The sequence below is a fragment of the Homo sapiens genome, chromosome 5 (assembly GCF_000001405.40).
Source record: "Homo sapiens chromosome 5, GRCh38.p14 Primary Assembly".
Taxonomy (NCBI): Eukaryota; Metazoa; Chordata; class Mammalia; order Primates; family Hominidae; genus Homo; species Homo sapiens.
In genome coordinates, this window is record NC_000005.10 from 146195779 (window position 1) to 146210128 (window position 14350).

At 43.4% G+C, this 14350-nt stretch overlaps 2 protein-coding genes across 2 annotated transcripts in view, besides 2 other annotated features; both read left to right on the top strand.

Moving 5' to 3' along the window:
- Positions 7263-7412: an enhancer, noted in NCBI's record as "active region_23360". NCBI's record gives its function as "activates an Ori minimal core promoter by ATAC-STARR-seq in GM12878 lymphoblastoid cells {active_cell/tissue: GM12878}" and the evidence as "EXISTENCE:reporter gene assay evidence [ECO:0000049][PMID:35858748]".
- RBM27-POU4F3 (RBM27-POU4F3 readthrough) overlaps positions 7827-14350 on the top strand; it is a 138124-nt gene continuing 131600 nt past the window's right edge. The window contains exon 1 of the mRNA NM_001414499.1: positions 7827-8046. Coding sequence (NP_001401428.1) covers positions 7988-8046 — 59 coding nt within the window. The 5' untranslated portion in view covers positions 7827-7987. The remainder of the gene's footprint in view (positions 8047-14350) is intronic.
- RBM27 (RNA binding motif protein 27) overlaps positions 7827-14350 on the top strand; it is an 85619-nt gene continuing 79095 nt past the window's right edge. The window contains exon 1 of the mRNA NM_018989.2: positions 7827-8046. Within this exon, the coding sequence (NP_061862.1) occupies positions 7988-8046 (59 nt within the window). The 5' untranslated portion in view covers positions 7827-7987. The remainder of the gene's footprint in view (positions 8047-14350) is intronic.
- Positions 7883-8042: an enhancer, noted in NCBI's record as "active region_23361". NCBI's record gives its function as "activates an Ori minimal core promoter by ATAC-STARR-seq in GM12878 lymphoblastoid cells {active_cell/tissue: GM12878}" and the evidence as "EXISTENCE:reporter gene assay evidence [ECO:0000049][PMID:35858748]".

A 14350-nucleotide genomic window follows, 5' to 3' on the forward strand; every position in this document is an offset into this window, starting at 1 on the left:
AGACCATACACTTTGGTGTCATTCTTGATTCCTCTTTGTCTTTCATATCCACAATCTATCAGCCAAACTTGTTGACTCCACTCTCAAAATATACCCAAAATCCAACTTCTCACTATAAGTCTAGTCCACACCATCATCATTGCTTGCTTGAATTAATGTTGTAGCCTCCTAACTAGTTTTCGTACCTCCTCTTTTGCCCCCTTCAGTCTGATACCCATAAAGGAGCCACAGTGATCCCATAAAAAAAAAAAACAGCGGATGAGATTATTTCATTACTCTATTTAAAACCTTCAGTATCTGGCCAGGCATGGTGGCTCACACCTGTAATCCCAGCACTTTGGGAGGCCGAGGCAGGCAGATCATGATGTCAGGAGTTTGAGACCAGCCTGGCCAACATGGTGAAACCCTGTCTCTACTAAAAATACAAAAATTAGCTGGGAATTGTGGTGGGCGCCTGTACTCCCAGCTACTTGGGAGGCTGAGGCAGGAGAATTGTTTGAACCCAGGAAGCGGAGGCTGCAGTGAGCCGAGATTGCGCCATTGCACTCCAGCCTGGGCGACAGCGTGAGACTATCTCAAAAAACAAAAAACAAAAAACAAAAAACAAAACCCTTCTTCTAATCTCAGAAGTAATTTTTTGTTGTTGTTGAGACAAGATCTTGCTCTATCACCCAGGCTAGGCATGGTGCAATCACAACTCACAGCAGCCTTGACTTCCCAGTCTGGAGTGATCCTTCTATTTCAGCCTCCTGAGTAGCTGGGACCACAGGCACGCACCACCATGCCTGGTTAGTTTTTTCATTTTTTGTAGAGATGGGGTCTTGCTATGTTGCCCAGGCTGGTCTCAAACTCCTGGACTCCAGTGATTCTTCTGCCTTGGCCTCCTAAAATACTGGGATTACAGATGTGAGCCGCCGCACCTGGCATAGAAGTAAAATCTAAAGTCCTTACCGTTACATGGTCCTTCATGATCTGGCATCTAACTACCTCTTTCACTCATGTACCATCAGTTTCTTCCTGGTTCATTCTGCTCCAGCCCCATTGCCTCCTTCCTTTCCTCAAATGTGCCAAGTCAGCTCCTGCCTCAGGGTCTTTGCACTTCCCTGGAAAGCCTCTATCCCAGATATCTACACGGCTAACACCCACACTACCTTCAAGCCACTGCTCAGTCTTTTTACCTTCCCCGTCACTCTCTATCTCCTCATTTTGCCTTATTTTCCTTTTTAGAATGTATCCCACCTGACATATTATATTGTTATTTGTCATTATTATCTTGCTACTGAAATAGATCTCCAACAGAATGCCTATTTTCTTCATTGCTGTATCCCCAGGGCCTATAATAGTGTTCTACTTATGATAGATTTCAATCAATATTGCTTGAAGGTAAGGAAGGCTGAATGCAGGAACTGAAAGAGGCTAATTCATGTAAAGTTGCATGGCAGAGTGCCTGGCACACATGAGTATGAGTTATTTTTATTTGATATGTCTAAATCACAAGGGGCTTATTTAATCCAAAGAAGAGTGGACGGTTTTAAACATCAGAGTGGACTCTTCTAACATCAGAAGGATAACCAGATGGAATGGGAGTCTTGTCAGTCCACTACTGCTGTTTTGTATTCCCTGCTCCCCCCTGCCCAAGAAAACCCAACAGTCACTGCTGACATGGAGCTTTCCACATTTCTCCTGGATGCTTATATAATCTGCAAGGACGTCAGATCTGGGTCCCCACACAGGTCCAGTGGGAACACATAAAGATCTTGGGGAATTGGGGCAAGGACTATTTCCAGTAACCACACACCTAAAGATGCCATTCTCAACCTTTTCTCCCTGGTGACACTGCTCTTAACATGTGAAGCAATATTTTTGTCTTTTTTAAGAGACGGGGTCTGGCTCTGTCACTCAGGCTGAAGTGCAGTGGCACGATGTCAGCTCACAGCATCCACTACCTCCCGCCTTAAGTGATGCTTTCACCTCAGCCTCCTGAGTAGCTGGGACTACAGGCATTCGCCACTACACCTGGAAAATTTTTAAATTTTTTGTAGAGACGGGGTCTCGCTATCTTGCCCAGGTTGGTCTTGAACTCCTAGGCTCAAGAGATCCTCTTGCCTTAGCCTCCCAAAGTGCTGGGATTACAGGCTTGAGCCACTGTAGTCGTGTGAAGCAACTTTGTATTTATTTATTTATTTGAGGCAGGTTCTTTCTCTGTCACCCAAGTGGCACAAACATGGCTCACTGCAGCCTTGACCTCCTGGGCTCAAGGAATTCTCCTGCCTCATTTTTTGTAGAGACAGGGTCTCACCATGTTGCCTAGGCTGGTCTTGAACTCCTGGGTGATGTTCCTACTCAGCCACCCAAATTGCTTGGATTATGGATGAGCCACCATGCTTGCCTTGAAGCAACATTCTTTTTTTATTTTTTTGCCCCGAAAGAGTCTTGCTCTGTTGTCCAGGCTGGAGTGCAGTGGTGTGATCTTGGCTCACTGCAACCTCTGCCTCCCAGGTTCAAGCAATTCTCCTGCTTCAGCCTCCCAGCTAGTGCCACCATGCCCGGCTAATTTTTGTATTTTTAGTAGAGACAGGGTTTCACCATGTTGGCCAGGCTGGTCTCAAACTCCTGATCTCATGTGATCTGCCTGCCTCAGCCTTGCAAAGTGCTGGGATTACAGACATGAGCCACCGTGCCCAGCCTTGAAGCAACTTTTTAAAAAATTGAGATACTTCTAGAGTCATATGCAGTTGTAAGATATAATGCAGAAAGAACCCTCACACACTCTTCCCAGTTTCCTCCAATGGCAGCATTTATTTTTTTGACACAAAGTCTTGCTTTGTTGCCCAGGCTGGTCTCAAACTTCTGGACTCAAGCAATCCTCCTACCTCAGCTTCCTGAGTAGCTGAGATCACAGGCACCTGCCATCACACCCAGTCAATGGTAACTTTTGGCAAAACTGTAGTATAATTTCAAGACCAGAATATTGACATCGATACATGTTTTGTGTTCATTTGTGTGTGTGTGTGTGTGTGTGTGTGTGTGTGTGTGTCTGCATATAGGCCTTTAGAAGACACACACACACAGTCTTCAAAAAGTTTATGGAAAATGTGTATTATGAAAAAACTATGCATGGATTTCAAATGTTTTTAACAAAATAAACTCATACGAACTTGTTACAACATTTCTAAACAGGATCTAGTTTGAGGCCCTAAGAGGGATAAGACATCAGTTTGAAAAGGGCCTCTATTAGAGCAACATGAATTCTGCTAAAATTGAAGAAAGAACAAACATCAAATTTTTTGTGAAGCTTGGGTGGAATAATGGTAAATTATTCATGCTTTACAAAAACCTTATGGGGACAATGCCCCCAAATAAATCAGCAGTTTACAAATGGATAACTTGTTTTAAGAAGGGATAAGAGAGTGTAAAAGATGAAGCCCACAGCTGCAGATCATCCACATCAGTTTGCAAAAACAAAAAAAAATTAATCTTGTTTGTGCCCTAATGGAAGAGGACCAACAATTAACAGCAGAAACAGCAGCCAACACCATAGACATCTCAATTGGTTCCACTTACACAATTCTAACTGAAAATTAAAGTTGAGCAAACTTTCCACTTGATGGGTGCCAAAACTGCTGCAACCAGATCAGCTGCAGACAAGAGTAGCTTTCATTGGAAATTTTGAAGTGAGATCACAATCCTGAAGCATTTCTTCAAAGAATTGTAACAGGAGATGAAACACGGCTTTACGAGTACAATCCTGAAGACAAAACACAATCAAAACAATAGCTACCAAGAAAATGGCAATGGGCTAGTCAAAGCAAAAGCAGACTGGTCAGCAGCAGAGGTCATGGCAACAGTTTTTTTGGGATGCTCAAGGCATTTTGCTCGAGGGCTAAAGAACGATAACATATGCTTATTATGAGAGTGTTTTGAGAAAATTAGCTGAAGCTTCAGCAGAACAACATCTGTGAAAGTTTCACCAGAGATTCCTTCTCCATCTTGGCAATGCTCCTGCTCATTAATCTAATAGCCGGGTGCGGTGGCTCACGGCTGTATTCCCAGCACTTTGGGAGGCCGAGGAGGGTGGATCATGAGGTCAGGAGATGGAGATCATCCCAGCTAAAATGGTGAAACCCCGTCTCTACTAAAAATACAAAAAATTAGCTGGGCATGGTGGTGGGTGCCTGTAGTCCCAGCTACTTGGGAGGCTGAGGCAGGAGAATGGCGTGAACCTGGGAGGCGGAGTTTGCAGTGAGCCAACGTTGCACCACTGCACTCCAACCTGGGCGACAGAGCAAGACTGTCTCAAAAAAAAAAAAAAAAAATCTGGTCAAACAAGGGCAATTTTGCAAAAGTTTTGATGGGAAATCATTAGGCAGCTACCCTGCAGTCCTAATTTGGCTCCTTCTGCCTTCTTTTTGTTTCCTAATGTTTAAAAAATATGTAAAGGGTCCCATTTTTCTTCAGTTCATAATGTAAAAAAGACTGCATTGACATGGCTAAATTCCCAGGACTCTCAGTTCTTTAGGGATGAACTAAATGCCCAGTATCATTTGTGTGGTATCACTTGTATGTTCTCAATGTGCCTGGAACTTGATAAAGCTTATGTTGAGAAATAAAGTTTGTGGTTTTTATTTTTCTTTTAATTGCACTTTTCCATGAACTTTTTGAGGTCCCTTCTGTGCATATGTAAGTTTGGTTCTATTTTTCTTTTTTTACCCAGCCATCAACTTGACTTTATAGGTAAGTTTAGTTCTATTCAGTTTACCACCCTGTAGTTCCTGTATCCACCATCACAGTCAAAAATCAAAACAGTTCCAACACCAAAAGTGTCCCTCATGTTGTACTTTTATAACCACACCCACTCTCCCTTGGTTGGGAAGGGGTCTCAGTTGTCTCAGTTCCTCTCAACGTGGGCCTCTCCACAGGGCTGCTAGAATGTCTTGAAACATGATGACTAGCTTTCCCCTGAACAAGAGATCCAAGGTGGGAGCTAGGGTTTTTTTTTGTTTGTTTGTTGTTGTTGTTTTTGTTGTTGTTCTTGTTGTTGTTTTTTGGCAGAGTCTCACTCTGTCACCCAGGCTGGAGTGCAGTGGCTTGATCTCAGTTTACTGCAACCTCTGCTTCGCAGGTTAAAGCAATTCTCGTGCCTCAGTCTCTCAAGTAGCTGAGATTACAGGCATGTGCCACCACACCCAGCTAACTTCTGTAGCTGTTCGAAGTGAAGGGAAAATGTGGATAAACTTTAAAAAAGGAGGAGGAAGAGGAGAGAGAAAAGAAGAGGCAAGAGTTGCAAGTGAGAAAGCTCTTGGCTTGCTGTCAGAACCTCTGGATGCTACTTCTACTCCATAGAGGTGTAATTCTGGGTAAACCACTTGCCTCTCTGGACCTTTTCTTTCATTTGCAAAGTTATGAGGAGGGGGTTAGTGAGGGAGGTTCATTACATTATTTTTAAGTGCACCTCTGCTTTTACTACTTTATGTAAGGGGTTTACAAACTGTGGCCAGCAAGCTAAACCCTGCTGGCATCTTCTTTGTACACCTGTGAGGTTACAATGGCCTTTACATTTTTATTTGTATTAATTAATTAATTAGAGACGGAGTCTTGCTCTGTTGCCCAGGTTGGAGGGCAGTGATACCATCTCAGCTCACTGCAACCTCCACCTCCCCAGTTCAATCGATTCTCCTGCCTCAGTGTCTGGAGTAGCTGGGATTACAGGCGTGTGCCACCACAGCCAGCTAATTTTTTTTTTATTTTGAGACAGAGTCTTGCTCTGTCGCTGAGGCTGGAGTGCAGTGGCATGATCTCGGCTCACTGTAGCCTCCGCCTCCTGGGCTCAAGTGATTCTCCTGCCTCAGTCTCCTGAGTAGCTGGGACTACAAACACGCGCCACCACGCCCAGCTAATTTTTGTATTTTTAGTAGAGACGAGGTTTCACCATGTTGGCCAGGCTGGTCTCGATCTCCTGACCTCATGATCCGCCCACCTCGGCCTCCCAAAGCCCTGGGAATACAGGCATGAGCCACTGCGCCTGGCCCACGCCCGTCCCATGCCCGGTTAATTTTTGTATCTTTAGTAGAGACGGGGTTTCACCATGTTGGCCAAGCTTGTCTGGAACTCCTGACCTCAGGTGATCCACCCGTCTGGGCCTCCCAAAGTGCTGGGATTACAGGCATGAGTCACCGTGCCAAGCCCCCCCTTTTTTTTTTGAGATGGAGTTTCTTTGGCTCTTGTCACGATCTTGGCTCACTGCAACCTCTGCCTCCTGGGTTCAAGCGATTCCCCTGCCTCAGTCTCCCGAGTACCTGGGATTGCAGGCGTGTGCCACCATGCCTGGCAAATTTTGTATTTTTAGTAGAGACTGGTTTCACCATGTTGGTCAGGCTGGTCTGGAACTCCTGACCTCAGGTGATCCACCCGCCTTGGCCTCCCAAAATGCTGGGATTACAGGTGTGAGGCACCGCGCCCAGCCTGGCCTACATTTTTAAATGGAGAAAAAAATGAAAAGATAATATTTCATGGTATGTGAAAATTATATAAATTTAAAATTTTATATAATTTTAATAAATGTTTGTAATACAGCCACAATCATTCCATTTACATATTGTCCCTGGTTAATTTTAAGCCAAGACATTGTATGACGAGTAGTTGCCATAGATACCTCAAGGCTCACAAAACCAAAATATTTAGTATCTGATCCTTTGCAGAAGTTTGCCTATACCTGTTCTATGTATATATAGGATGTCTGTTTATTTGAGGTTGATCCATTTCTTTTATATGAGGTGCGTGCTCATTAGGTATTTTTCAAAATGTTATTACAATGCATAACCCCATAAACTGTTCATCATCTTAAGAGGAGAAGCTCTGTTTTGCTCAGCATTGGACTCCTAGTGCCTTACTCAGTGCTGGCAATTGCAGGGACTCAGTATATGTTATTGGGTAAACATTTTAACATCAGTGCTAAATCAGTGATTTCAAAACTCCAGAAAGAATTTCTCACCTACTAGAAAGTAAGTTGACTATTTCAGTAGTTTCTAATTTGTCTTAAAAATTTTTTTGTAATCCTTCTTTGCTGATTAAAATTCTCCCTTCCCGTCCCCCAACCACTGAATTTTAGATATACAATGAAAAGATAATTAAAAACAAACTATTGGAGTCATTTTTCTTCCTAAATAAAGCAACATTTATTAATAGTACTAGCAAAATTGAAATGGCCTCAGCCTTTTACATCCGTGCGCCACGTTTTAAAAATGACGATTACTGGATTCCAAGGCATGGTTGTCAGAAACATTCTGCGTAATTAAAGCAGAGCAGCAGAAAATACAAACGTGAGTGCCAATCAACATGAGTGTGTAAAGAAAAAAAGTAAAATTTTGCATTCTGTGCAATGTGTCGAACGTGAACGTATTGCACGTTGTGTTGCAGATTTACTACAGCTGAGTCATTTCGGGACACGAGTGTGTGTTTCCAAGAAAAACGAGAGGAAGGAACCAGGCTGAGGGGCTCGCCGGGTTCCCCCAGGCACTCCCAGCAGCAGACACCGGTATTCCGCGGCGGGCGGCGGCGTGGTCAAAAAAAGGCGCCGCTGCCCCTTTAAGAGGCAAAGCACCTTTTCCAAGATACCATCTTGCACCAGGAGTTCACTTAAGCTCTCCACCTACCTTGCTATATCTCTCCTCCCTGACTGGGTACCGCCTGCCGGCGGGGCGAGCGAGCCTTTTCATTGGTCTTGCCCTCAGGGCCCCCTCTCTCTTACTGGTTCTCAGGCCTGCCACTCGGCACTGTCTCCCGCCCACCTCAGCCTTCGGGCTAGGTTGAGTGAGGGCTCTTGGGTTAGTTCCTGTTAGGCCCCGGCCGGGGGAGTAGGTTGAAGTCTCCTAAGATGCCCGGTGGGCTGGGGCACCGGGAGCTGTGAAGGGAACGTGAGGGGGCGGCGTAGTGGAGACCCACGGCAGGCCTGAAGAAGAGCGGCGGCCGAGCCCGCCTTCCCTGCACCATGCTCATAGAGGATGTGGATGCCCTCAAGTCCTGGCTGGCCAAGTTACTGGAGCCGATGTGAGTGAGCCGGGCTGGGCCGGGGCCGGCGAACGTGGGCGTTGGGGGCTCGCGGGGGCGTGGGGGAGGGGAGGTGGCGTGGGGGGCGGCGCTGAGGGGCCGCGGCCGGGAGGTCCCGGCGACGCCTTCCCTGTAGTACTATCACCATTGTGGTGGGGGTGAGGGTGGGAGAGGAGCGCTGGGGACGGAGAGGCGCCGTGAATATGGGGACTGGGGGGGCAGGCAAGGACAGCGAAGGCTTTTCAAACGCAAATATCGGGGTGCTGGAAGGGGTAGCAGGGGCCGTGAGGGAATTTAAAACATTGCTGTTTGAGAACTGAGAGAGAGGTAACGGGGCTCTTGAGGGATTTTTAAAATGTGAATATTGAGATGTCGAAGGGAATAGCAGAATATCAAGGGTTTGATAAACATTATTATTCCGGGACTGAAAGGTCTAGAAGCAAAATATCGAGGGCATTTTCGAAATATGAGGGCAGAAGCGGATAGCAGGGACATTGAAACTGTATAGCGATTATTGGTAAGTTCTGAGGGATCAAGAATATTGAAGGATTTGAAAAATACTATGGAGTAGATGAAAAGGATGTGTGGGCATTGAAGGGTTTTAGAAATTATTGGGGAGGTGATAAGTGTGATAGCAAGGATATTAAGGGATTTTAAAGTATTATTGAGGGCTTGATAGTGCTAGGGGAACTGATGACTTTTAGATACATAGAGGTTGGAAAAAAGAGGTTTCTGTAAGTTTAGTTGAAGGTTGAAAGGGCTACACTGGTATGCAGCATTAATTGGTGGAGGAGTATACCTAACAGTATGTAGGGATTTTTAGATACAGGTGGTGTTGGAGGAATAAAAGGAGCGGTAGAAAGAATAAGAGATTTGTAAGTATTCTTGTGCCATTGAGAGGACAGTTTTGTAAATGTTTTTGTAAGATTGAGAGGACACCTGAAGATAATTGGGGTGTAGTATGAGGGACCGAAAAGAATGAGAGACCTGTCTTTTAAAAATATTTTGGGTGGTGTTAGTAGAAATGTTATTGGGAGGCTTGAAAGAGGTAACAGATGTATCAACATTTTGTTTTATAACCTTTTTTTTTTGAAACAATGTCTCGCTGTGTCTCCCAGGCTGGAGTGCAGTGGCTGGATTTCGGCTCACTGCAACCTCCGCCTCCCGGGTTCAAGCGATTCTCCTGCCTCAGCCTCCCGAGTAGCTGGAACTACCGGCGCGCGCCACCACGCCCAGCTAATTTTTGTATTTTTAGTAGAGATGGGGTTTCGCCTTGTTGGCGAGGCTGGTCTCGAACTCCTGACTTCAGGTGATCCGCTCGCCTTGGCCTCCCAAAGTGCTGGGATTACAGGCGTGCGCCACTGGACCCGGCCATGTTTGATAACCATTTTAAAGGGTAGAGTTGTGGAGTGCTTATTTGGGGGAATGGGGTATGGCTAGTTACTGGAAGGGAAAGAATCATGTTTTGCCTCCTCCTTGCTTCTGCTTTATTATTCTCTTATTGAAGGTTAGAGCTTTCTGCTTGAAAGAAAGGGGTAGAAGAAGAGATGGGCAGGCTTTGATTCATTAGGTCAGATTGCATTAGTGGAAAATTTGAGTGTTTTTCGGAGGTGAAAATAGGGAGTAGTTTGGGAGGTGTGGAGGCATGGTAAAGGAACTTCTGGGGGACAGTGTCAAGCTACTTCCCTGTTGATCTCTTTCAGTGAAAATGACTGAACACACTTGAAGGTTTTGTAGAAGAATATAGGTCTCTTGAATAGGGGTTTTTTTAACTCCTACAATAAAGTTTTGGGCACAAAGATGGAAATGGTTTGTGGTGAAGGTGGGAAATAAGATGGATGTAATGAAATTGACCATATATGGGAAAAGGTTGAAAAAAGAAAAATATCTGTATGTTTAAAGTATTCTTCATGTGGCTGGGCACGGTGGTTCACGCCTGTAATCCCGACACTTTGGGGGGCCTAGGCGGGCGGATCATGAGGTCAGGAGTTCAAGACCAGCCTGGCCAATATGGTGAAACCCCGTCTCTACTGAAAGTATAAAAATTAACCGGCTGTGGTGGGGCGTGCTTGTAGTCCCAACTACTCGGGAGGCTGAGGCAGAAGAATCGCTTGAATCCCAGGAAGTGTAGGTTTCAGTGAGCCTAGATCAGGCCACTGCTCTCCAGCCTGGGCAACAGAGCCAGACTCCGTCTCAACAAAATAAAAATAAAAAAAGTGTTATTCATGTTATTTAAGATTAAAAAAGAAAAAATACATCTCTTTATTTTGTATTTCTGCTGCTCTGATGCCTTTAGAAAAAACAACCTACTTTCCAGACAAGTTTAGTTTTGTTGGTAGCTATCCTTTTAAGAAGAATTAAACATACATTTTATGTCTTGGATAGAAGGTAACAACTTTTAGCCTTATAGTTACTTGCTTTTTCTTTTTTTTAAAGCTCCCTAAGATGTTTTACTCTGAGTAGTGCTTTTCGTTTTTTGTTTTTTTTTTTTTCCCCTTAATGTTGAAGGTTAGTCTGGGTGGGAGCTTCTTCTTGCTTAGGCTTTTTTTTTTTTCCTTCTTTTTTTTAAAGCTACTTAGACTCATAAGTATGATCATTCTGTAATTTTCATGAGTAAAAATTATCTTTCAAAATGATTACTTGAGTTTAGTTTCTCCTTTTGAGTTATATATTCAACTTAAAGTTCACATGCTTATTTTTTTTAATTTTGTTGCTCATTTAGGGTAAAAAAAAAAAGGCTAAAATACTTTATTTGTTTGTTTATTTATTTATTGAGATGGAGTTTCGCTCTTGTTGTCCAGGCTGGAATGTGGTGGTGCAATCTCAGGTCACTGAAACCTCTGCCTCCTGGGTTCAAGCGATTCTCCTGCCCCAGCATCACGAGTAGCTGGGATTACAGGCACTTGCCACCATGCCCGGCTAATTTTTTGTATTTTTAGTAGAGACGGGGGTGTCACTGTGTTGGCCAGGTTGGTCTCCAGTTCTTGACCTCAGGTGATCCACCCACCTCGGCCTCCCAAAGTGCTGGGATTACAGGCATAAGCCTTTGTGCCTGGTCTAGAATACTTATTTTTAACTCACCTAAGTAACAGTTTTGAATGGAGATATTAATAATAAAAAAGTAAATGCAGATACCACATATATTTTTATTCTTAGTATGTCATCATGGGAGATTATTTTTTGTTTGTTTAGATATCCTAAAATGTAATAAATGATATGCTAAAGTGGGTTGTGTTTGTAAATTTACTTTTTTGCATATTCCAGATTCAAGAAAATTTTCATGGCAGATTGGCATGTTGCTACAACATAGCATTTCAGAGCAGTTGCTAGGCTTTGAGATAGTATAGTTGCACCGGCTAGGTTGGAATCAAACTATGACTGTGCACATGATTTTCTTTCTTTTTCTTTCTTTTTTTGAGGTGGAATCTCTCACTGTTGCCCAGGCTGGAGTGCAGTGGCACTCACTGCAACCTCTGCCTCCTGGGTTCAAGCGATTCTCCTGCTTTAGCCTCCCGAGTAGCTGGGATTACAGGCGCCCGCCACCATGCCCGGCTAATTTTTTGTATTTTTTAGTAGAGAGGGGGTTTCACTTTGTTGGCCAGGCTGGTCTTGAACTCCTGACCTTGTGATCCACCTGCTTGGCCTTCCAAAGTGCTGGGATTACAGGCATGAGCCACTGCGCCCAGCCTGTGTGCACATGATTTTCTATTACATTTTCTTATTTAGCTTAGTTTACAGTAAATTAAATTTATGAAAGCTTCCAATTCCCGGGGGATTTTTAAAATGTTACATCTTGTCCCTAGTGAAACATATGCATGTAACGGGAGATATTTCTTTTTTTTTTTTTTTTTTGAGACAGGGTCTCTGTCGCCCAGGCTGGAGTGCAGTGGCACGATCTTGGCTCACTGCAACCTCCGTCTTCGGGGTTCAAGCGATTCTCCTGCCTCAGCCTCCCAAGTAGCTGGGATTACAGGCGTGTGCCACCATGCCTGGCTAATTTTTGTATTTTTGGTAGAGATGGGGTTTCACCGTGTTGGTCAGGCTGGTCTTGAACTCCTGACCTCAGGTGATCCGCCTCCCAAAGTGCTGGGATTACAGGCATGAGCCACCACACCTGGCCTAACAGGTTTTTTTTTTTTTTTTTTTTTTTAAGACGGAGTCTTGCTCTGTTGCCCAGGCTGGAGTGCAGTGGCGTGATCTTGGCTCACTGCAACTTCTGCCTCCCGGGTTCAAGCAATTCTCCTGCCTCAGCCTCCTGAGTAGCTGGGATTACAGGTGCCCGCCACTACGCCCAGCTAATTTTTGTATTTTTAGTAGAGATGGAGTTTCACCACGTTGGTCAGGCTGGTCTCAAACCCCTGACCTCGTGATCCACCTGCCTCGGCCTCCAAAGTGCTGGGATTACAGGCGTGAGCCACTGCGCCCGGCCAACAGGAGGTATTTCTAAACCAATCTAGTTTACAGTTGATTATTCCCTATGGACAAGTTAGGAATGTCATGGGCTATTAGAGCTTATCTGTTACCTTCCATTCCCTTTGTAGGTGGCGAACATGTCTATTACTTTTATTAGAGGAAGGACAGGAGGGAGACAGGAAGAAATGACTCCTTAACTGGCTGGAATAGACTAGTACCACCATTTTTGTTGGCAATGCAGTAAAAGGGAGGGAAACCAATATCTCAGTCGAGAAGTTTGTCTCTTTCCCTACAGCTGCATGAATAGACTAGACTCAGTTCTTGTTTGGGGACTTCATCTTTCCTCAGTTTCAAAATATCCTGGATATCCTAGTCATAGAGACTGTAGGGATTATGCACAATTTAGAGATGTCATGGTTTCTTTCTGTCAGAAATAACTGCTCATTGTAAGAATGTGAACCCCTTTAAAGTAAGGTTCTGCTAAATTCAGGAAATAAGTGCATCACTAAAGAAATTTCTGCAAGTTTAAAAAAAGATCAGGCAAGCATTTTTCAGTAACCTGCATTTCTATCAAAACATGTTGTATTTAATGGGGAATGTTTTATTTATATTATATAAAATGTATAAATATGTATTATTCACTGCTGCTTGTTTGGCTTAGTGTAAAACTTTCTCTTGGTGTGTGTTTTAAAAAGCATGGTGGGATTTGTAAACTCTGGACAATTTGTCTGTCTTACTTTAATAGACATTGTTGTGTGAATCGGCATTTAATTTCTAGTTCCGTATCTATCTCTAATTCACTCTGTGACTTAGGATAAGTTGTCTAACCTTTTTCTATTAAACAGAACTAAATTTTATTTGCCTTTTACCTACGTCACCAAGTCTGTTATGAGTATTAATGATGTAGACTTTAAGTGGTTTGTGTACCTCTGAATCATTCTATAAATGTAAACAACATTTTATGGTTTTTGGAATATGAAAATACATGAAACTTTCTGCAAAAGTATTTTGCTTATTAATGTTAAACACCACTGCCACTTAAAAAATAATAATCAGTCTATTACAAGACAGACTAGAGTCTCATTGCAGGTCCTATAGGTAGGAACAGGAATTGCTAGTCAAAGTCATAGACTTGATGTGCAGTTTTTGTGATTTCTGGCCATATCAGTGTCTTTTAAAGTGCCCTAGGAGATTGAATATGTTGTCAGCTTGGAGAGTGATAGAAAAGGCAGCAATAAGGTTAATAGACTAAGTTTATTTTATTGGTTCATATTTATGGGTTCAGTGATCATGATGCATATACTTTGGTTGAACTCTAGAGTTTACATGTTGCTGTATGTTGGCAGTCCTTATCAAATTGAACTCTGGATAGTAATCTCTGCAGTTGCCCAAATGGGAGGAAAAATAATTATCTAGCAATTTTTGGAGCTGACCACCTGGTAAATAAACTACCAGCGTTAAATAAGTATTTTGGAGGTATATTCTTAAGTTTGGGAAGTACTGGTAATTTTCGAAGTGTACTTAGTTGCTTCAGAGAATTAGTGTGTCTCTAAAGTGCTGTGGGACTTAAGGATACCATTCACTATTTCATAGAAAAGAACTTTGGCCAGAAGACTTCTTGGCAAGTTTTAGTCTACTAACTTAAGAACATATTTGTTCTTATGTCCTTTGGTCTGCCTTTTAAAGATGTCTGACTTCATCCTTCCTGGCCCAATAACTATAGGCTAAAGCCAGAAGTTGCCTTTTTAGCCCTGTGTTTCTTGCCACTGTCTTCTCTTATCCTCTTACAGTGTTGCTACTTACTTCCTTATTAATCTCTTTTTATACAATGTATTATTTTGTACTGTAATTATTTGTTTTCGTATCCACCTCTTGGCCATGGGCGTGCAGG